The 24,836-nt window shown below is 35.1% G+C and overlaps 1 protein-coding gene across 4 annotated transcripts in view; it reads right to left on the reverse strand.

Annotated features, from left to right (window-relative positions):
- Positions 1 to 24,836, reverse strand: part of FSTL5 (follistatin like 5) — a 780,104-nt gene that overhangs the window by 197,088 nt on the left and 558,180 nt on the right. For all 4 annotated transcript variants that reach the window (NM_001128428.3, NM_001128427.3, XM_011532126.1 and 1 more), the window contains exon 8: positions 6,471 to 6,591. In NM_001128428.3, coding sequence (NP_001121900.1) covers positions 6,471 to 6,591 — 121 coding nt within the window. The remainder of the gene's footprint in view (positions 1 to 6,470; positions 6,592 to 24,836) is intronic.

The raw sequence follows: 24,836 nt of genomic DNA on the forward strand, positions 1-24,836 counted from the left end.
AAAAGCCTGAAATGATACATGGCCAATACCACCCCCCAAGCAAGAGCCAATCTCCTAGATGACAATCAACTGAAAGTTTTAAATCAAAATTAAAAGAATAAAGAGTTGAAGAATATGAAGAAGGGAAACATATTCCCACCTGTCATCTTTTTAGGAGGGAAACTGTAGTTCTCAAAGCTTATCTCCAGAATTACCAGAAGGTTTGTTAGAACACACATTGTTCTATGCCCTACTTAGAGCTTCTGATTTGTAGCCACAGATGAGACCTGAGAATTTGCCTTTAAAACATGTCGCTGTTGCTCCTTGTGCATGAACCACAGTTTGACAATCACTGAGCTAGGGTAACCCTCTAGCTTCTCACTCTCTCATTTATTAACTCACAGTGGGAGGAGAAGAGAGGGTGAAGGAGACCTCTTCCTGCTTTGTAGATCTCACTGTCTCACTTTCTAGATCTCTCTGCAGTCTGGCCAAGTTTAGCTAGGACGGTTTACCACACCCAGTGCAGAGATTCCAGTGTTCCCTATGACCAAATGAGGAAGCTGAATTACATGATGCAAGAAAGAAAGCTATTGTTGCCCCAGACTTAAGCTGGGTTTTCTAAATAATAGCTCTGTCAGTAATGAAGGTCATGCTTTGTATCTGTATATCTGGCTTTTGTGTCTTTCGTACAGATGTTTCCAAACTTTGAAGGAGAAAAATCAGGGTGTTTTATATAGACATCTGGTAAAACCAACAAACAACAACCACTTTATGCAGAAGTTTTCTTATTTCAGTAGAAAACACATCCGCACAATATTATGTATGAGGGCTTAAATAATTTGAATGGGAGAGAAGTAACAGTGTACATATAGTTTCACTGTGAATATGGACAAGCTTTCTGCCCAGAGGGGCGTGTAAACAATGATGACTTTTAAAAATTTCAAACATTCTGTATCATAAGATCTAAAGACGATTTGCTTTATGTAAAAAGAGAAAGAAAAGCATGAAATGAAATCCCCTGGTAGAGTCAAGCTACTTTGATTTATACATAATGTTTCTTCAGACAATGGCACAGAAGCACTCTCATATTTCAATATCTAATTTGCATTGTTTGAAAAGGAACAGGGCTATAGATAGACTTTTATTTGGCTTATGCTCTAGGATATTTAAACAGACTTTGAACTTCAAAAAGACTCTTTTACAAATTCCAGTAACTTGTGGTATTTTCCGGGCTTGTTATGGTAATCAATGACATATTTTGTTTTTATTATGAATTGACAAATTGTTAAGATAAATATTTTAAATTCTGAAAGCCTGATTTTCTAAAGTTCTTTTTAACTTTTTCTAAAAGTGAATGAAAAATATAAGATGAGTTAAACCAGTTTTAGAGATTTGTTGAATTCCATAAATGTGCTATTTGGTAGATAATTTGCATTTTCTCGCATTTTTGTTGTATTTTTATCCAGTATTGTTCCTCGTTCCCAACTACTGTTTGTTGTTGTTGACTTACAACACTTGAGTAATCCCAAGTTTGTTATACTTCTTGACATAAAAAACATGCGTTTAAAGTTCTTATGCCAAGTACAAAACACCATAAAACCAAAGGAGAGGAACACACTAAAAAAGAGACAGTACCAATTTTAGGGCTGTGGTTTTGTAACTTACCCCACCATTTCTAGATATGTTATTATAAAGTGTCATTATTCTATTTTTTGTTTGGCAAAATATTTTGATACATCAGAAACTTTGCAAATAAGGTGGCTAGTTACCTACTTGATATTTATTTTCCCCTTTCTTCTAGTTAACATAATCTTTATATTGTTGTGGGTGGCAATACGTCACAGTCAGAGAAATATATTGTGCCATGTCTTTGCATTTAGGGAGGATCAGTGGAAGTTATCACTGGTGCTTTCATTAAAACTTTTTTAAAAAGTTCTGTCTCAGCCGGGTGTGGTGGCTCATGCCTGTAATCCCAGCACTTTGGGAGGCTGAAGCGGGTGAATCACGAGGTCAGCAGTTCAAGACTAGCCTGGCTAAGATGGTGAAACCTGTCTCTACTAAAAATAAAAAATAAAATAAAATAAAAAAAGTAGCCAGGCGTGGTGGCGGGCACCTGTAATCCCAGCTACTGGGGAGGCTGAGGCAGAGAATTGCTTGAACCCAGGGGGCGGAGGTTGCAGGGAGCCAAGATGGCGCCACTGCACTCCAGCCTGGGCAACAGAGAAAGACTCCGTCTCAAAATAAATAAATAAATAAAAGTTCTTTCTCATGTGTCAGGTGTCATTTTCCCCTTCCTCCCTCTTCCTGTTTCCCTGTTGAAAGGTCTACAGAATTTCCACAGCCATTTTGAAGTCACAGGATGAGACTGAGGGTAGAAACTGTGTGCTAATCATAATAGAGGAAGCTTATGATATTGATGACATTATAGATCTGCCATCCCCAAACCGCCCTATCTTGTCTTATTTTCTGTGTTAGAAGAATACACTGTATCTCCTTTGAGCCCCTGTCCTTTTGGGTCTGTATTATAGCAGTTAATAGTTAATCCCTCACTGTTAAATATAAAATGAACTTTGAAACACACTTTTTGCCTTCCCTTGTTGATATAAATGCAGTAGAACAAATTTTTGACCAATGATAGTTGAATTTTGATAAATCAGTGTTATTTTATACCTTATTTTTCCTTGTGGTTAAGACTAGAACTGGCAAATTAGATTAGGACATTTGGGCTGCTTAAAACCCTAGCAAACCTTAGTGGTCCACAGAGTCCTTTATATAGACTTGACCTAACTAGAAACATTTTTTTTAGAAACTGAAATTGCCAGCTGCTTTGAGAAAATGCTTTGAGGTATTGCATATCTTCCTCTCTAGTACCTCATTCTAGTAATATTTGATCCTTGGGAACACCAGTCCATTTTCATGTCACATTTATCATGTCCTCTCTTGTGTCCTTATCTCACACTTAGTCTGTAGTCCACTGTAATCACTCCCTTGTAAACTTATTTAACTTCTTCTCTCCTAACTATTCCCCTACTTACTCACCTGACAAACAAAACACTAGCTAAATCAGAATCTTTTTTTCTCTCATGGCCACTTTACAGTCAACCACAACAGAAGGAAAACATACTTCATGAATACTCCAAGCTTTCCCCAACACACCAACTACATATTATTATTTCAATTGCCCTCCTGCATTGCAAGATAATTATTCGACATGTCTTCCCCTCCTCAAACCACTAAAGCTATTACAAACTCTTCACTTTCAACCAATGGTATTATTCATTTCCCTGAAGAAACTTTACGTAATGCAAAAAGGACGTCCTCATGCTCCTACACTGTGAATCTTTTCCCAAACAGTCTGTCTTTCTCTCTGTTTCAACACAGGGACTATTCATCTTCCAAAGATCAGTCCGTCCTTCTGTGAATTAGATCACATCAATTTTAAATTTAATTGATTTGTTACTATAATTATCCTTTTGGTCTTATAAATTATCTGCTTTTAATCTTTACTGGATTATTCCCATCAGCATAAAAGATGATCATATCTGTAACTTTTATAAAATTCACTCCCTTGAATGCAGGTGCTTTGCAGCTACTGCAAAGTTCTCTCTTTACTTTCAGCAAATGTTCTCCTTTAAAAGAGTTAATGATAGAAGTGTTCTTGATTTTTTCACTTTCCTTTCTCTCTTGAATTGACTATAATCATAGTTTTATTACCAATACTTGGCAAAAGCTGGTCTTGGAAAGGTTAATAATTGCACACAAGTACTGAAATCTAGTGCTTAAATTATACTCCTCATCTTGTTTGCCTTCTCAGCAATGATAATATCATTGGTTTTCTCTCCAAACCCCATCCCTTCCTGAAAATCTTTATACCAAGATAGTCAGAGCAATTTAAATGTTATGGGACATAATGGAAAGAAACTGGTTTTGCTCCCTGTGAGATATCGGTTCAGGGACCCTTGTACCTCGAAAAGGAAAAGCATTAGAGTTCAGCACAAGCAATCACTGCTAATATTGAATTCCTCTTGATTAATTCATAATGCTAAGGCTGATGGGGAGCACTCTGTTTCTGAGACCTCATTATTTCTTTATTTCCATATTCCATCTTCAGAAAAACCCGAGATCAGAGAGTAAGCAGTTCATTCATGGGAGGGGATGAAACAGGGAAGCCGCCTTTCACCAGCGCTGCTCAATGCAACCTTGCAACATAAAGCCGGCAGTTTGGCTCAAAGTCTCCTTCATGGGTTTCCCAGCTGGAGCATGGCAAATGAGTAAGTTATGTAAGAAACCTACATCAGACATGAATGAAGAGCAGCAGCTCCTGAAGAGCAGCCGTTTAGAATAGTTGTCACACTTTACCACGCATCACAATTTCCTGAGAAGCTTTTCAAAATGCAAATTTCAAGTCAGAATTCCTGAGAGTGCTGGTGAAGTCCAGGGTTCTGCACTTGTGATCTTTTCTTTTATGTGATTCTGATGCAGGTGGAGAACATGCACCATACACTCTAAAAACTACTAAGAACTCTTACATGGAAGATCTAGGACTGGGAATGAGGATAAGAGATAAAAGACAGAATTAATTGCTAGCCAAAAATGAAATTGGAGACATTCTCTCCCTAATGCTAAAAAAAAAAAAAAAAAAAGGCAGGGCATTAATCTTGTTGAATAGGCAAACAGTCAGTAAGCATTTACCACAAAATAGAAGGTGAGGACCAGACGTGCAAGAACAATTTCCCCATGGATGCTGCATTTACCTAGAGGGTGAGGACCAGACATGCAAGAACAATTTCCCCATGGATGCAGCATTTACCTATAGGGACGAGCATCCTCAGCACAGACTTGTCCTACCCTCTCAAGATTGTGTATCAGCAGGTACAATTACTTTATATATGAAAGTCCATCTCCAAACAGCTGAGGCCACTGGAAACACCATGAATCAACTTTGCATCTCGCCTGCTTTCTTCCCTGGTTTCATTGAAAGTTGGATTCAAAGACTTGATTATGTCTAGATACCAACTGTATTTTCACCAGAAACCAAGAACTAGATCTGCTCCCCTGGAGCGTCAACAATAGTCAAATCAGATTACCCAATATTTTCAAACTTTTTGGCACATGTTATTAATTGATTTCCAGTACACGTACTTCTCATCACAGGGTCCTCCTTCTCAGTGTTCTCCACTTGTTAACCTCAGATCCAAGGCTCAATCCTCTGACTTCATATCCATTTATATTTATTTCTAAAGTGACCTAATTAAGCTCAGATTTATGACTTTCAATGCAATGTATACATATTGATATTATCTGAACATACAACTTTGGGCTTTCATGTTCCTCAATTGAATACTTGACATTTTCATCGATAATATAATTATATTTAAGTTAACATGCTAAAATTTAATCTCATCCAATCTCAAAATGTGTTCCTTCTTCAAAGTAGTAAATGGCACACCCATATACCTGTTTCCTTCAAATTCCTTAGCATCATTTTTTAACTCTCTCTCACACTCACATGCTATTCCTCAGTGATACTGACAGAAGTACTTTTAAAATATATTCCAAATGTGACCACTTCTTTATAACTCCACCATTAAGACTATATTTTAAGCTACCACTATCTCTTACTTGGACACTAAAATAGTCTTTAAACTATTCATTTATTTTAAAATAAATCAGAATGTGCTACTCTGTATACTAAACACTTTGACAGCTTCCCCTTACACTTAGAATGGAAATCCAAATATTTACCTGAGTCTACAGGGCTCCATGTGATCTGCCCCAAGGCTACCTCTGCAAGCTCATTATCTGCCACTCTCCTCTAAATTCATGCCCATCACACTAGCCATCTTGCTGTTCCTACAGAAAGCCATGTAAGTTTCTGCCTCCTTTTCATAAATCAGAGTATATTAAAATATATGTTACAATAAATTATGGAAATGAAATATTTACTAATCAGTCATATGTGTAATCCTGTATTAATGCTAGTAAATAACTAAAATTTGAATTAAATCAAGAATAAAGAAAAGCTCTGATTGTAGGAGTGATATCAGCCCACCTGGTCAACATTCATAGGTAGACATTAAATTAACCATCAAGAGTATAAAACTTGCTATACATGAATAACAGTAGTCTATATCATTAAAACAATCAATTAAATAGATGATCTGCTTAAAATTTTTGTTTCTAAAATTTATGCTTGCCTAATTGTTAATATTCTAAACGAAAAAATAATGTAAATTTCTTGTGTTCTAATTTTCCAATTAAAATGAGTTACTCTAATATTTTATAACAAAAATAGTACTAATTTATAGTGCTTATTTACTTGGAAATTTTGTGTTTTTTTTTTTTACTTAAAAAACTTTTACATTATCAGTTGAGTCTCAAAACTTGAAATATTATTAGTACCTTGTAAAAACTCAAAAAATTGAAGGCTTCACTTCCTAGTAAACTATGGTGTTCTTTGAATAGTTAGGGTAACAAAAATCACTTCTTACCATTCACTTGGAAGATGTGAGTCTGATAGACTTGTTCATAGCCATCTGCATAGCAGGTGTAATTGCCAACGTGAGTTGTGGTAACCTTAGTAATATACAAGGACCCATCATCTCCAAAGTCCTATTAAAAATAAAATAAAACAAGGTGTTTGCATTTTGAATTAATTGTAACAATTTCAATTTTTAAAAGGTGTATTCAGGTACAAAACAAATAGACTCAAATATTGTTTTAAAATTATCAAAATGAGCATTGTTGGGTGTATAAGCGTAAAGGATCTGTAATTATAATTTTCTAACAATATGTTTTGTTTAAAAAGCATCATATCACTCATAAATATAGCTTTTTAATATTTATTTGAAATGCATGTTTAATATATAAAGTAACTTAATTTCCACATATGTGTTCTAATTTAGTTCCCATTTTTAAGATTAGAACAGGCCAGGCACGGTGGCTCACACCTGTAATCCCAGCACTTTGAGAGGCCGAGGCAGGTGGATCACTTGATGTCAGGAGTTCAAGACCAGCCTGGCCAAAATGGTGAAGTCATGTCTCTACTAAAAATACGTAAATTAGCTGTGTGTGGTGGCACACACCTGTAGTCCCAGTTACTCCAGAGGCTGAGGCAGGACAATTGCTTGAAACTGGGAGGCAGGGGTTGCAGTGACTTGAGAACGTGCCACTGCACTCCAGCCTGGGTGACAGAGTGAGACTCTGTCTCTAAATAAATAAATAATTACAAATTAAAAAATAAAAAAAGATTAGCATAGCTATAATGTGTTTTCTTCTTATTTATGGCTAAAACAAATACCTGTTAACTGCATTCTTCACATTGGTAGTTATCTACTACTTGTATATTATTTAATTATATATTTACCAATAAAAATAATTATTAAAGCAGTGTGATCTCAGTGATAACATTTATAGCCATAACATAGAATAGCATTTATTTTCCAAGCCCAGATACCATCAACACATTTGAATACAATAACCATACCACTTCAAAATAGTGGAGATAAATGCATAACCATTTTGAAAAAAAAGAAAGGAAGAAAAAAACTTGCACCGTTAAAATCAAATCCATGAAGCACCTCCAGAATAGCAAAGACCAGAAAATTTTCTCTTCCATTATGGTAATGACTATTCTGGCAAAAATTGCCAAAATCAATTTTTTTCAGAATTCTGGAAATAGAGAAAGGTTCACAATAGCCCACAGAGTATTTATTCAAAAAGTGGCTGACTCTTAGTAAGAATGGCAAAATTTATGTGGCATTTTAACTTTACTTCCTCAACAGCTCTCCACAGCTGCATGGTGGCCTTGAACCAGCCTCCTTAAAACTATGCCAGCTATGAAAATCATCATTCTAGAAGACACTGGAAGGGAAAGAGCAGGTCTGAAGCTCCTCCAAGACCTTATCCTGAGAGAATTGTACCTGTTGGATAGATTAGCAGCTCCTCGAGAACATACATTTTCATGACTTCTTTTTAGTTGAGCTTTGAGCAACACTTAAAGTTCACTCTGTGTAAAGAGCCCTATCCCTAATGTTTTTTTTTTTTTTTTTTGAGGCAGGGTTCCCAGGCTCTGGAGTTCAGTGACATGATCTTGGCTCACTGCAATCTCTGCCTCCCGGGTTCAATCAATTCTTCTGCCTCAGCCACCTGAGTAGCTGGGACCACAGGAGCACTCCATCACACCCAGTTAATTGTTGGTTTTTGTTTGTTTGTTTGTTTGTTTTTTGAGATGGAGTTTCACTCTTGTTGTCCAAGCTGAAGTGCAATGGCATGACCTCGTCTCACTGCAACATCTGCTTCCTGGGTTCCAGTGATTCTCCTGCCTCAGCCTCCTGAGTAGCTGGGATTACAGGTGCTACAGGCTTGTGCCACCACGCCCTGCTAATTTTTTGTATTTTTAGTAGAAACAGGTTTTACCATGTTCGCCAGGCTGGTCTCGAACTCCTGACCTCAGGTGATCCGGCCGCCTCAGCCTCCCCAAGTGCTGAGATTACAGGCATGAGCCACTACGCCCAGCTAATTTTTGTATTTTTAGCAGAGACAGGTTTTCACTATGTTGGCCATGCTGATCTCAAACTCCTGGCCTCAAGTGACCCTCCTGCTTCAGCCACCCAAGGTGCTGGGATTACAGGAATCAGCCACCATACCTGCCCCCTAGAGTCTTTATTGAAATCAGGAAACAACAGCAGTTGTTTCGCATTACAACTTTCTGCAACAGAGATACTAGTTGTAGAGAGCAACAGTTTGACTAAAAAACCTTACAAGATAAACCTGAGGAATGGGCTCTCCGTAGAGAAGTTTGAAGAGTTCCATATATTCCTAGGAGTCTAGAAGGCCACACAAACGTGCAGGACTGTGTGAATGCTCAGCAGAGATGTGTGAATCCCTATTATCTCATCTCTAGCTGCACATAAGACTCTACACAAGCAGAAATTGAAGGCTAAGACAGAGTTGTGAACTATATAGGAACACTCATACCGTAACACAAAACAGAGATAGGAAACCTCAACAAAGCCTGGGAGACTTACTGATGCAAGGCATTTAATTAAATCCCTGTTCAATCATTAGCTCACCACTAAGAGTGAATCCCAACAGCCACATACAACATACCAAAGAAAAATAGGTAAATTCAACTTCATAAATATTAAAATCTTTTGCTGCTCAAAAGACATCAAGAAAGTAAAGAGATACCCTATAGAGGAGAGGAAATATTTGAAGAAAATTTATCTGATAAGGATCTTCTATTCAGAATACATAAAGAGTAATTACAATTCAACAATCAAAAAGCAAATAGGCTGGGCATGGTAGCTCACACCTGTAATCCCAACACTTTGGGGGCCAAGGCGGGCAGATCACCCGAGGTCAAGAGTTTGAGACCAGCCCGGCCAACATGAGGAAACCCCGTCTCTACTAAAAATACAAAAATTAGCTGGGCATGGTGGCACATGCCTGTAATCCCAGCTACTCAGCAGGCTGAGGCACGAGAATTGCTTGAACCCGAGAGGTGGAGGTTGCAGTGAGCCGAAATCGTGCCACTGCACTCCAGCCTGGGTGACAGAGTGAGACTCCATCTCAAAACAAAACAAAACAAAACAAATAGTCTGATTAAAATAATGGGTAGAGGATTCAAATGAACATTTCTCAAAGGATTTACAAATGAACAATAAGCACATAAAAGCATGTTCAGCATTACTAGTCACTAAGGATATGCAAATAAAAACCTCAGTGAGATACTACTTCATATGCTCTACATTGGTTAAAATAAAAAAGAGACAATTGCAAGTGTTGGAGAGGATGTGGAAAGTTTGGAACCTTCACACATTGCTAGTGAGAAGATTAAATGGTGCCTCTGCTTTGGATAACAGTTTGGCCACTCCTCAAAAAGCTAAACTAAGTTACTTAGGACTAGCAATTCATTATGTACTACCCCAAAGAACTGAAAACATGTCTAATACTAACTGTATGCAAATGTGCATAGCTGTATACTATTGTATGCAAATGTATGCAAATGTGCATAGCTATATTTATTAGTCATAAAAGGCAAAAAGTGAAAACAACCCAAATGTCTATCAATGGATGAATGGATAAATAAAATGTACTATATCTATACAATGGAGTATTATTTGACAATAAAAAGGAATAAAGTACTGATATATACTGCAACATGAATAAACCTTTCTTTTCAGCCTTAGGGCCTTTGCATGAATCTTGAAATTAATATGCTAAGTGAAAGAAGCCAGACACAAAAAGCCACAAATTTTACGAGTCTAATTATATGACATGTCCAGAATGAGCATATCCATAGACATAGAAGACGGATTTGTGGTAACCAGGGACTGAGGGAATGGGGGAGTGGGAAATAACTGCTAATAAGTCTGAAGTCCTTTTTGGAGGGATGAAAATATTCTAAACTTCGACAGCCATGATGGCTGCACAATTTTGCTAATATACTAGAAAGCACTGAATTGCACACTTCGAATGGATTAATTTTATGGTTTGTGGAGAATATCAGAGTAAAGCTGTTGTTAAAATAAAATCTATATGGAATACTTAAATCCAAAAAAATAAATATGCCATAATAAAACTATATATATTCTTAGTTAATGAAATCTTTTGTGAGTATGAAAAAATTAGAAATCAAAAAAGAAAGAATAATTGACATATTTTTATGAAGAAGAAACACTCTTGCATTCTAAAACATTGCAATCAGTAACAGAGAGCTAATTAACCACAGATTATCAAGACAAAACTCAATACATTTAATCTTTATTTATAAAGCAGTTATCTGTATGCCAGACACTACTATAAACACTTCACAAAAATGGACACATTTCATCTATATACTAAACCTAAAAAACAAGATCTATTAATATTCTCTCACTTTATAGCTGGGGAGGCTAAGATGTCAAGGAAGCTACTAGTTCCATTTGGCCTCTAATTAGCGGAGCTAGGATTGGAAACCAGGTAGGCTTACTCCAGAGTCTGTGTTTCATGCTCCCACACCACACTGCCTTCCTTGTCAGTCATAAGTTGAACTCAGGGATAAAGACAGGAAAAGGGAACAAAGAGGAAATTTGAGACAAAACGCTCAAAACAAAAGAGGTCAAATACACTACCAGGTTTGAAGAAAAAAGGCTGGAAGTGTTTTGAGAGTGCATGTGCCATAGAAGAAAGGCTGGGTAGATCCACTGAAGTTTGAGTCAAAAGACAACATTGTGAAACATGTCAACCCCTGTATTTCTTCCTTTTCTCAGCTGCAGAGAATGAGGATATGAGGTGCTGGTACAGAAAATTCTTTTTATTACCATTATTATTATTATCATTATTATACATTAAGTTCTGGGGTACATATGCAGAATGTACAGATTTGTTACAAAGGTATACACGTGCCATGGTGGTTTGCTGCACCCATCAACTCGTCATCTACATTAGGTATTTCTCCTAATGCTATCCCTCCCCTAGCCCCCCACCCCTGAGAGACCCCAATGTGTGATGTTCCCTGCCCTGTGTCCATGTGTTCTATTGTTCAACTCCTACTTATGAGTGAGAACATGTAGTGTTTGGTTTTCTGTTCTTGTGTTAGTTTGCTGAGAATGATGGTTTCCAGCTTCATCCATGTCGCTGCAAAGGACATGAACTCATCCTTTTCTATGGCTGCATAGTATTCCATGGTGTATATGTGCCACATTTTCTTTATCCAGTCTATCATTGATGGGCATTTGGGTTGGTTCCAAGCCTTTGCTATTGTGAATAGTGCTGCAATAAACATACGTGAGCAAGTGTCTTTATAGTAGAATGATTTATAATCCTTTGGGTATAACCCAGCAATGGGATTGCTGGGTCAGATGGTATTTCTCATTCAAGATCCTTGAGGAATCGCCACACTGTCTTCCACAATGGTTGAACTAATTTACACTCCCACCAACACTGTAAAAGCATTCCTATTTCTCCACATCCTCTCTAGCTTTTTAAGTTGTAATTGGCAAATTTTAAATATACTTTACTATAAAGAGTCTTAAATATTTTTTCCCATATATTTGCTCTGAGGATTTACCTTCTAAGAGTTTTTTGTTCCTTGCCCTTTCCCAATTTTAATTTTGGGTTTAGAATTTTTCATGTTTATTTCTAAATTTTTAATGTGTTGCTCAGTTCTTAATTTTATATACAATATTTATCAATAAAAAGCAAGCATTTATCTTCACTTCATTTTTGTAAAATGTAAATACTTGTGTCAGCATCTTTTGGTAAAGAAACTGTTTTCCCTCTGAATTGTGATTTTTTTAAAAATATTTATATCTTTAAAATAGGATAGTATCCACTGACTTACCAATGCTCACATAATAGTACTCCAAAAAGCATATCTTATATATTTCTGGCTTTACCTATATTTATGCTAGGTGAATTTCTGTTAAAAATAGCTTCCCTCAAACTGATACCCACTACGGATTTATTGAAAACAAGAACACGATTATGGAGCTATTGAATCTGACCTTGAAAATGATAAAAATCTTCTGACAGAGAAAAAAAGATCAGAGAAGAGAAAGAGAGAAAGAGATAAATGGGGGAAGAGGAGAAGGAGGAGGAGGAGTCAAGGAAGAAGGGATGAGGAGGGGGAGGGAGAAGGGGAGGAAAGGGAGGCAAGGGGAATCATACTGTACACTCTGGCTGTCATACAGTTTAACTGAATATTTCCTTAATAACTCTCAATAAAATAGAAATCCTCAATATCATATTATATACGATCAATCATACCACATTTCTACAGCTCCCAGAGGAAATTGTCATGGTGCCACTCTCACTGATTTAATGAGGGAAAGCCTTATGAGCTACACAATAGGAGAGGATTTGGAGCTTGAACCTCCACAAAAAGTAACTACTGATACAAACTCCATAACATAACTCCAGCCTTCACCCACAGGCTACCATTAAAAACAGGGCTCATACAGACAGAACACTGTTAAGGAACTGAAATGCTAAATAAAAAGACAAAAGGCTGTACCTCACGTGAACAGTAAGCAGATATTTGACATGTTGTAGAGTATAATGGGGGGAAAGCCAAACTTTTGTAGAAATTAATTGAGAAAGATTAGAGTTAAGAGTATTTTTAGAAAGATTTTGAGCAAAAAAAATAATTACCGATGGCCAGAAAAATAACAGCAAGATATCTAGTCTCCATAACATAGACATAAACACAGGGCAAGAACGTGTAAAACTCATTACAACCAGAAAATATCATGGAGACCAGATCACAACAGAGAATTCTTTCAACGGACAAGAATAATTAAAAACAATAGTGAAAATTCTGAATATATGTGAATGGCATTTGTGATTGTTTATATTCAAATATGCAAAATGGTATATTCATATTTTAATGTATATTTTCAGATAATTCTTTTAAAATTTCTTTAAAACCTGAAATAAACCACTTTTCCATACGTTCTATGTAGCTACCTAGAGAATATAGTCTTTCCCTTTCTAGTATAATCAAGATTCCTTCACCCAATGATGTAAAAATTATCCAAGACTGCAACTTTTAAAGTGTTTTATTGAAATCTGTGTTATTCCATAACACCAAATCTCTTTTAGTTACAATGCCCTTCTTTCTAAATTACCATATCTAAATTACCATTACCATTTCTAAGGTATATTTGTTGATTCATGTTTTTCTCTTTCCTCTAAATGGAATTAAAATATTCCAGCCAAAATTTTCTTTAATAAACAATTTTATAAACTCCTTTTCAGGCAGCTTTTTGAATGAGCTAGACTTTAACTAATCCTCTCATCAGTTTGAATAAAGCATAGACCTTTTCAATATATTTAAAATAAAACAGCATATTTCAGTATATTTAAAATAAATAATAAATATTTATTGAGCATGTAAATATGTCGAGTGCTATGCCGAACAATTTAAATGAAACATGAAATTTTATCATTTAAACAACTTCGTAAAAAAGGCCCCATCATTAATCCCATTTTGCAGATAAGAAAACTAAAATATACTGATGTTGAGTAACTTGGTTGAGGTCACCAAACAAGGTGAGGGGTCTCAGATTAGCATCCAAATAGACTGCAGAATTTAGCTGTTCTTGTTTATATAATTCTTAACACATTCTCTTTTTTTCAGGATTCTCCATTAATCTTAGCCAAGCCTCAAAATTACGTTTTGAGTTTTGTTATATGTATAAAGACATATCAAGCCTACTCTTTACCTCCATCCTGATACAGCATTTCTGATCTTTTATTTCCTCAGCAGTTTTCTAATCTTAAATAGATCAAAACAAATGTATGATGTTGAGGCTCAGCCATGGTTGAGAGTTATGACCTTAGAACAGACACTCTGAATTCAGGGACAAAATCTTGCACTTGTTCTGAACCCCTGTTACACCTTTATAATCTTACTGCCAATGGACACTCCATAAATATTTCATCAGAGATTCAATCTTTATGAGCCTCTACACCATTACAGAGTTGCCTTAAGGCATTGATGTCTGGAAAGAGTTGATAGGAGAAAAAACACAAAATCGTTTATTTTGTTGAGTTGATTGCTTATATATTTTTCAAGGTAGTGCAAATGGGAACTTTGGAAGAAAGAACATCTGTAGCACATATGTAAAATTGCGAAAATTTTTCTGGCAACTACCTATTGATTATAATCAATTATGTAAGAGTAACAAAACATTTAATAACCTATAGATGATGAGCACTGATTAATCAGAATGTACAAGGCAGTAAAAACCAGGTACTGATTATATCAGTACATAACAGCTGAATTTCTGGCCTATATTTAACCACAGGTTTTTAACCATATTGTTTAGATTGCTTCAATATAAAAGATATTTCATCTGTTATAAAATGGTAAATTTTAAATGTTAGCCCACTTTCTTTTTCATATTATGTCCCTCCTTATAGTTCTAAATTGTATGGTACCAATATTATTTGCACTTTAAATACAGTTTTCTGTATAAAATATGTTTTGATATACACTGACATTAAAGTAACTTATTTTCAAATTCTGAGTTTTCTAGTGTATGCATTTAATTTGCAATAGTGTAAAAGCTATTTTCCTAGCTTTTTATGTATACAAAATATATTTTCATAAAATAACAATAAAATAAATCTAAGCAAACTTCTACATATTGAGATTGACTAAAGCAATATTATCTCACAGTAGACAAGATTTTCTAGAAACTATGGATTTTTCTCAGTAGCCTACTTACTGACATACTTAATACAGAATCAGTAAATAACACTGTGAAAATAATAAATTAAATAATATGTTTAATTTGGTAAATACATCATTTAAAAAACTGCTTTCCCTAAAGTAAATCATTTTATGAATCAATTTAAAATTGATTTAAATATGCAATAGAAAAGAAATGTCAACTAACACGAATTGAAACTATTGCTTAAAATTATTAAGCAAACAAAAATAAAACAGCTGCATTCTCTGGTATGAAAGCAAAACCAAAATGATGAGAACTTTGTGAACAAATATTATTAGATAATAAATGTAAAATAATTTAATTATATTTTATTAAACTTAAGAAAATAACCCTGCAAAAAGGTTCTAATAACTTCAAATTAATTGATATGTTCTCTTCTTGACCACACTTCTCAGAATTCCTTATTGTTAGCATAATAATTTAGGAATAACTACATCTCAGAATAATCACGGAAAAGGGGAACATTAATGAAAATCCCTACAAGTTCTAAATGGTTGTTGAGGATCACGAAGTTTTATAAATGTGGTTTGGAATACAATGTAATTCGTTAAAAGTAAAAGGGTCTTAGGAATATGGAAGTTTTTACAGTCACTCTTGAAAAAGTTTTGAATGGAGTAAAATGAGCTGCAGGTATTTCTCCTGTTAGAATAAAAAGAAGACATATCCTTCGCCCACTTTTTGATGGGGTTGTTTGTTTTTTTCTTGTAAATTTGTTTGAGTCCTTTGTAGATTCTGGATATTAGCCCTTTGTCAGATGAGTAGATTGCAAAAATTTTCTCCCATTCTGTAGGTTGCCTGTTCACTCTGATGGTAGTTTCTTTTGCTGTGCAGAAGCTCTTTAGTTTCATTAGATCCCATTTGTCAATTTTGGCTTTTGTTGCCATTGCTTTTGGTGTTTTAGACATGAAGTCCTTGCCCATGCCTATGTCCTGAATGGTATTGCCTAGGTTTTCTTCTAGGGTTTTTATGGTTTTAGGTCTAACATTTAAGTCTTTAATCCATCTTAAATTGATCTTTGTATAAGGTGTAATGAAGGGATCCAGTTTCAGCTTTCTACATATGGCTAGCCAGTTTTCCCAGCACCATTTGTTAAACAGGGAATCCTTTCCCCATTTCTTGTTTTTCTCAGGTTTGTCAAAGATCAGATAGTTGTAAGCTGGAAACCATCATTCTCAGCAAACTATCCCAAGGACAAAAAACCAAACACCGCATGTTCTCACTCGTAGGTGGGAACTGAACAATGACAACACTTGGACACAGGAAGGGGAACATCACACACCGGGGCCTGTTGTGGGGTGGGGGGAGGGGGAAGGGATAGCATTAGGAGATATACCTAATGTAAATGACGAGTTAATGGGTGCAGCAGACCAATATGGCACATGTATACATATGTGACAAACCTGCACGTTGTGCACATGTACGCTAGAACTTAAAGTATAATAAAAAAAATATGAAACAAAAAATAAATAAATACAAAAAAAAAGAATAAAAAGGAGACAAGCAGAAGAAGCCTATGGCAGTTGTCCTGAGTAGATACTTGTACAATATGTAGACCCAATGCAATAGGTTATGGAGTGTTTATAGGTTATGAAAAGCTACACAAAAGGGGTAAGAGGTGTCCCTCAAATTCTAGTGTGGAGAAGGTAAAGGAAAGTAGATTAGGCAAAATGAGAATAGTGGTATTTGTAACAATAGCTATAAGAGATCACAAAAAGATCACAAATACAACATACGACATGAACAATATTCATTGAGAACATGATAACAGTTTATTGAAAGGTATTAAAGAGTATCTTACTCAGTTGAAAAACATGAATAGAACTCAATATTTTAAAGGTATCAATTATTCCTAAATTAATCCAAAATCTCAACACAATTTCAATTAATAAAAATCAACTTGTTGGCTGGGCACAATAGCTCATGGCTGTAATCCCAGCAGTTTGGGAGGTTGAGGCGGGTAGATCTCAAACTGAAGTCAGGAGTTTGAGACCAGCCTGGCCAACATGGCAGAACTCCATCTCTACTAAAAATACAAAAATTAGCTGGGTGTGGTGGCATGCACCTGTAATCGCAGCTACTTGGGAGGCTGAGACAGGAGAATAGCTTGAACCCGGAAGGCAGAGGTTGCAGTGAGCCAAAATTGCTCCACTGCACTCCAGCCTCAGTGACAGAGTGAGACCCTGTCTCAAAACAAACAAACAAACAAACAAACAAACAAAACGCATGTTTTTGAGGAAATCAAAAGTTGATTTAGATTTGTAAGACAGTGTAATAGAGCATGAAAAGCCAAGACAATCCTGAAATAGAAAGAGAAAACAAAGATGATTTGCCTCTATCATATATCAAGACTCATCTACAAGATTAAAACTAAGATGAAGTGATGTATTAAGATAAAGTGTCTCTGGAAACAACCAATATTCTCAGCTCTCCCTTCTTTCTCTGTCCCAAGAAATAGATAAATGACAAGTATATATACGATACCTAGATAGCCATGTCACATGTATGATATGTGACAGACATAGCATGGCAAATTAGTAGAGAAAGATTGGTCTATTAAGCATACAGGGCTGAAGCAACTAGATAAGTTTAGACATATAGAAAATTCTAAACTGGACTTCTACCTCACAGAATACACAAAAATCAAGAGCAAAGGAAACAGTACATATATGTAAAAGACAGAACTTTAAATCTTTTCATATAAAATGTTAAGAAAATATCTTTATAATCTCAGGAATTTGGATATTGGATGACATTTTAAATTGAGAGACAAAATGAAGAAATCATTTTAAAAGTAATTTACAAATTAAACTATATCAAAATTAAGAATTCTTATTTGTAAAAATACATTATCAAAACAGTGAAACTACAAGCCATAATTGGACAAAGCAACCCATTATCTGTAACTGATAAAGGGAAAAACAAAAGACTAACAATTCAATAGAAAAATGAAGATTTGAAAAGTCATGTACTGAAAATGAAATCACAAATATCACTTAGATTTGTAAAAAGATGTTCAATATCACTACTAATCATTAAAATTAAATTTACTGCAACAACGAAGAAACCATGTAAACATCTACTAGATTTACAAAACTAAAATGCCTAATCCCAAGTGCTGACTGACATGTAGCACAATGAAAAGTCTCATAAACTCAGTGAAATTGTAAATTGGCAAAACCAATCTGTAAAATATAAACTCAAATATGAGCATATTCTAAAACTCAGACATATGAATGTACACACATAAATTTTTCTATAGTAATGTTTATAGCATCATTTTTAATAATACAATTCTGGAAATAACACCAAGTACAACAGATTAATCACACAACACAATCATGGTGAATAATTAAACACTGCTTTTATAAAACCACTATTCCAAGTGTTTTAAATACATGCAGAAAACCACTATTCCAAGTGTTTTAAATATATGCAGAGTCAGATTTGCCATGAAGCTAATAATGTCCAGGTTTAAGAGCTCCTCAGTTGGACAAGCCCTTTCCAAAGATCTGATAGCAGCTTTGCAATGTGTGTATATGGCCATATATTTCTGTAAAATTTGCAAATATATTAAGATTTGCTATAATTTCTTTTCTCTTTGGAAATAAATATCCATTTACATAGCTAACTGTTATTTATAATTTGTATTCTTTCTCCAAAATATAGGTGTCATTGTGCACATGTACTCCAGAACTTAAATAATATAAAAATAAAATAAAAATAAAATTCAAGACGACCCATATAACCTTGAATCATTCCTATCTATATTATTTATGTATTGACAATGCCATATTTTACACATAAAGAAACAAATTTCAGAAAGTTTAAGTAACTTCCCTATGAAGGTTACTAATTTCACAGTACAAAATTCAAAACTAGGTCATCTAGCTCTACATTTCATGCTCTGAAATTCCATATTTACATAGCTACAGACATCAACATGAATGAATCCCCAAGCACAATGTCAATAAACACACACACACACACACACACACACACACACACACACACAAACAGTATGCCTCCATTTATGTAGCATCCAAAAACAGCCAAAAATAAGCTATATGTCTTAGGGATGTATACATTTATGGTAAAAATACGAAGAGCAGCAAAAAAAGGGTTAACATATAATTCACAGTAGGAGTCATGCACAGGAGAAGAAGGAGAGTGTAATGAAGAGAAGCCTACAGGAGGCTTCAGATTCATTGGTAAGGGCATATTTTCTAAATGGTTGCAAAGTATAGATATATCTCTTTTTTTTAATTGTAAGTGACCTACATAAACCGTTGGGTTTGTATAATACTGAAATGCAATAAAAACTGAGTTAGTAAAAAAATCAAAGTAAGCTTTACATAAGTATCTCAAAGTAAATAGCTTCCCCTATGTATATGCAGAATATCCCAGTTTCTTGTTTCCTAAATCGACTTGGATTGTACTTCTTAAAAATTAAGGCAAAAAAATCTCATTTAGATTTTAAACTATATTAGTCAAGTTTTGAAAGCGAATACAATTTTATTTTGGTTTCATCAAAAATATTCATAATCGAATGGCCCAAAAAACCTAAAATCCTGGTAACTCTTGTATCATTAGTAAATGAATACACATTCCAGACTTCTGGCCTTATCTTGGGATATAAATGGAAAGAGTTTCTATCCAAACAATGAGATGAAGCTAAATAATCTACACAATAATTTCTTTCTGGAATCAATCAGAGTGCTAACTTTGCAGATCAACTGACTATCCTCAAATCCCAGGAACCCTGGTGCCTCTAGAAAGAGACAAGACACCGGCAATTATTCACCTACACTAGGGCATTGGAAGAAAACAAGGAACCATACAAGTAAGTACAAAAAAAATCATCTAATTTTTAAAAAATAGCTTAAAAGCTGAACTTGCACAAGTTGTGAGAGTATAAAACCCTGGGAGCACAGACATAGAGAAGAGTCACTTTTGCAGCATCTTCTTAATGGACTTCACAATTTGCTCTTCAGAAAGACTGGGGGCAGGAGAGGCATTCCTCATGATACAGGCCTGGTGTTGAGTAACAGCTCATGCTGAGGTGAGAAACCAAACAAAACAAAACAAAAAAACAATTCTTACCTGCATCCTTTCCCCTAGTGACACAAAGTCTTAAATAGTTGGAAAAAAAAAAAAAAAAAAAAAGGCAGCCAATCCTGTCCCTTTCAAAACACAGGTGAAAACCCACTGAGTTTTTAAAAAAGAGAAAGACCCTCCTTGTTCCAGAAAATTTAAAAAACCCTTACCGATGTGAACAAGGTAGGAACACTGAGAAAATTCTGCTCAACAGGCTTAGAGCCATATAACTACCTAAGGTTGATACTGAATGAAAAAATGTATAATACCCCCTTGTCTGGCACCACCCATGCTTGCAAAGAACCAGCAAACAAGCAAGCAACAGCAAACTACCCTTGGTAGAGGGACAAGAGCATAAGAAACAACTTCTCTTGGGTGCAGGCTCACAGGGAACACTTAAAACTGAGGATGGACCAGGCACAATCAAGAATTTTATCAATTAATACAGCTCCCACCACAAGCACAAAGTAACACTAAAGGAATAAGTACATTGTAATCATAGTGGCTAACAAAACCAAAACAAGCTTAACTTTTCAATGAAGATCTCCCAGAAAAAGAGGCATGCCTACTTCCAGGCATAAACACTTTAAACTTGGTCTCCACTACCTTGCACAGAATATGTACATTTCAACTAAAAATTATGAGACACATAAAATAGAAAGAAAAAATAATAGGCTGTTAAGAGACAAAACAATCAATGGAACTAACCTCAAATACAGTCCTATTATTGAAAAAATTAGAAAGTAGATTTAAAATAACTATGATTAATATGTTAATATTTCTAGTGGAAAGACCTGAAGAAATCCATGAATGGTTGGGTAATGTTAGCAGAGAAATGGAAAAAGCAAAAAAGTGTTGAAGGACATGCTATAAATAAATAAGACACACACAGAAAAAAAAAGAAAACAAAAAGCGTGTGCGCACGCATGCACACACAGAGAGAGAGTGAGAGAGTGAGAGAGAGGGAGAGAAAGAGAGAGAGAGAGAGAGAGAGAGAGAGAGAGAGAGAGAGGATTAATGCATTAATGCCCTTGGAAGACTTATCAGTAGTCCTGACACATTGAAGAAAAGACTCAGTGAATCTGAATATAGGTGAATGGACATTATTGAAACTGAAACACAAAGGGCAAATTAGTAGGAAAAAAATAGAACAGGGTATCCAAAAGAAATCAGTCAATATCAGTCTAAAATACGTACCATGGGAATCACCAAAAGAGGGAAAATAGAGATTGGAATATTTGAGATTAGAGATTAGAAATTCTTAAATTCTTAAAGAATAATTAATATTTTAAAAAGCCAGAAATGTATTTATACTACAGGGGACCAAAGATAAAGAGAAATGTTTGATTTCCAGAAAAAAGACACACATTACATACAGAAGGGCAAATGTAAAAATTACAACAGGCTTCTTATCAGAAGTTTTGAAAGTCATAAGACAATAAAGACTGACATTTTCAAACTGCTAGGGTATGGATGAAGCAGGGGGTGGGGAGAATTAAGGAGCTGTCAGCCCAGAATGTCATATACAGCAAAAGTACCTTTGTAGTATCAGAGAAAATCAAATTTTGTTCAGCCAAAAACTGAGAATTCATTAACAGCAAATCTGCATTGTAAGAAATCCTACAGGAAACTCTTCAGGAAGAAGGAATGTAATACCAGAAAGAAAGCTGGATGTGTACAAATAAATAACAACTTCACTTTTTGGTATATTTATAATTTACTACATTAAACAAAAAAGGGTAGTTGTGTACCTATATCAATGTGAAAGTAAAATGCATAACAACAACAGGAAAAAAGATGAGAGGAAGTATTTGAGGGTACAGAGCTCTAAGGAGCTGACATGTCACTTCATGTGGAACAGTATATGACAATAAATAGTAATTATACACACACACATTGGCGTACCTTGCAGTTATTGTAGGTGCAGTTTCAGACCATTGCAATCAAGTGAATATGGCAATAGAGAGACCCACACAATTTGTTTTTTGGTTTCCCAGTGCATATAAAAAGTTACGTTTGCACTATATTATAGTTTAGTAAGTGTGCAATAGCATTACGTTTAAAAATAAGGATGGAGTCCCAATCGGATAGGATTAGTAGTGGCTTTATAACAAGAGGAAGAGTTCTCTCTTTCTCTATTTTTCTCTACTTGCAAGCAGCAAGGAAAGGCCACGTGCAAACACAAAGAAAAGGTGGCTTTCTGCCATCCAGGAAAACAACCCTCCCCAAAATCTTGATATGATGGCACCCTAATCTGAGATTTCCGGCCTACAGAACTGAGAGAAAATAAAGTTCTGTTATTAAAGCCACCAAGTCTGTGTGATTTTGTTATGCAGCTCAAGCTAAGATAATACATTTGTTTTTTTAAAATATTTTTCAGTGTAGGGAAGAATGAGAGAATTGCACTTAAATTGTGTAATATACATGACATGGATGAGAGCAGAGAATCCAGAATCATGTTCGAGAGACAGAACGTCTCCGAGACAATAACCAAAGTAAAGGTGTCAACGTACCTGAAAAATATTGCTTATAATTTAGAAGAAGCAATGATATGCCCCAAAGATTAAGAAAAATCAGGATGTGGGGCAACAACGTCAGTTCCCCAGTACAATGCATTTTTTACCTGGCTAAGGGAAATTGGATCACTCGGTCATTTATAGACTTTGTAAAAACTAATCAATCAATTAATTAATTGTACAGGAATAGATCAATAACAAATAAATGCAATTTTAAAAATAATAAGATTCTGATGTCATTATACCTTCAAATCATAAAACTAACCAACTCTTGATATTTGTGCTCCAATAATGTAATTTCTCATTATTTTTTCTATAGTATTTGCTTCTTACTTTCAATGTTCATTTTGATAATCATCTTTTCAACATGTTACTGGGTTGATTTTAATATTCAGTTCTCTTAATAGATATTTTAAGGGTCATGGAATTGATTATAAATACATTATTATGCAAAAACCTACTCTTAGCACTGTTATCATGGATTATCAGTTTTGAATCAGAAGAACTCTGGGGTCCTGAATAAAGCAAGCACATCATTTAGGAACCAATCAATCAGAAGATCAAAACCACACAGTAACTTGAACATAAAAATTTTAAATAAAAATAAATGATTAACTAAAACAGAGAGTTGGAATAATGGAAAGTTATATACTAAAGAGTGAAGGGTACTCTAAAAAATATAAAAATAACAGATATACAGCAAACCACCATCCCTTGGAATGACATAGTACTCCCAAGGAACAGGCTCTTCTCTAGCACTATTGAGATCCAAACTTCTTTGATGAGAGTGGGCATATTTATGACTCACCGGGTAGTAGAGAAAGTCACTGGGGTTACAAAACCACCCAAAGTGGTACAGGAGGACATTTTTAATGGGAGATGCCCTGTTGGAAACCCTTCAATGAGAAGCCACTCATCGTGTTATTGGGAAAATCTGCCCATGGGGACTGCTGTAAACTGCTTTTTATCAAGCACTGTTGGAGCCTAGGGACTGCCTAGGTTTCATGTTCTGCTAGAGCCTGAGCATTGAGGAAGTTGCACACAGTGTGGGAGCCTGCCTAAAAGAACACAGCAGAACCAGAAAGAGAAACTCCTTTCTCACCCACGGTTAAATAGGTGAAATATTTACAGAATCTATGCTTACATATTATTGTATAGGAGTTATTTCAAGGTGATTTAGAGGATAGAGGCAATGCATTATAACGAGTACCTAAATTTTCAATATATGGCAGGGAAAATGCCAAGCTAAGAAAACAAATGGTCAACTATGTGGTTTACTGCAGGCCACATGTTTTGCTCTGTACTCATTTTATATCCTACTCACCCACCAATAAGAAGGGGACAGAAAAGGGATTAGCATACAGAAAATAAATTCAGAAGTATGCCAGAGCTGGTTACAGGAGTGTTTTCAATTTGTGAAAATTCATTTATTCACATGACTGTATTGTTTTTATACTTAAATAAAAACTTGTGAAGTAAAACATGCCATAGCACATAGCCTTCCACAGTATCCATGAACTGAGCCACATTGATACATTTATTTATTTATACTGTAATTGCAATGATTTAATTACATATAATTTTATTTCTAGGCCCTAAAGATATGTATATCTTAAATACATGTTTGTTAAAAAAAATTGAAGAGTATATCTATTGTGGAAGTTAACACTCGCAAGCTTTCAAAATACTTTTTTTTCCCAAAAACATCTTAGAGTTTCTCAGTTTTCCTGTAAATGAACACAACTGCCATAATAACTGCTATGAGGAAACTGCCTCCAAGATTATTAATTATTTTATGGTAAAAAAACGAATAACCTCTATTTCACTACTAAATTCTTGTCCTTGCATGAAAGTTACTCGTTGGAGATCCAACTCTTCCCCAAATGACTGAAAATTGAAATGTCTTCACCCTTCAGTGGAGAACCATTTCCTGTCTTGGAAGATAAGTCTTTTCAACAGCGTTGTGAACAAATGAATTACCTTTTGTGGTAGACTGATTTCATTGATGGTCTTAATTGCTTTT

The sequence above is a fragment of the Homo sapiens genome, chromosome 4 (assembly GCF_000001405.40).
Source record: "Homo sapiens chromosome 4, GRCh38.p14 Primary Assembly".
NCBI lineage: Eukaryota > Metazoa > Chordata > Mammalia > Primates > Hominidae > Homo > Homo sapiens.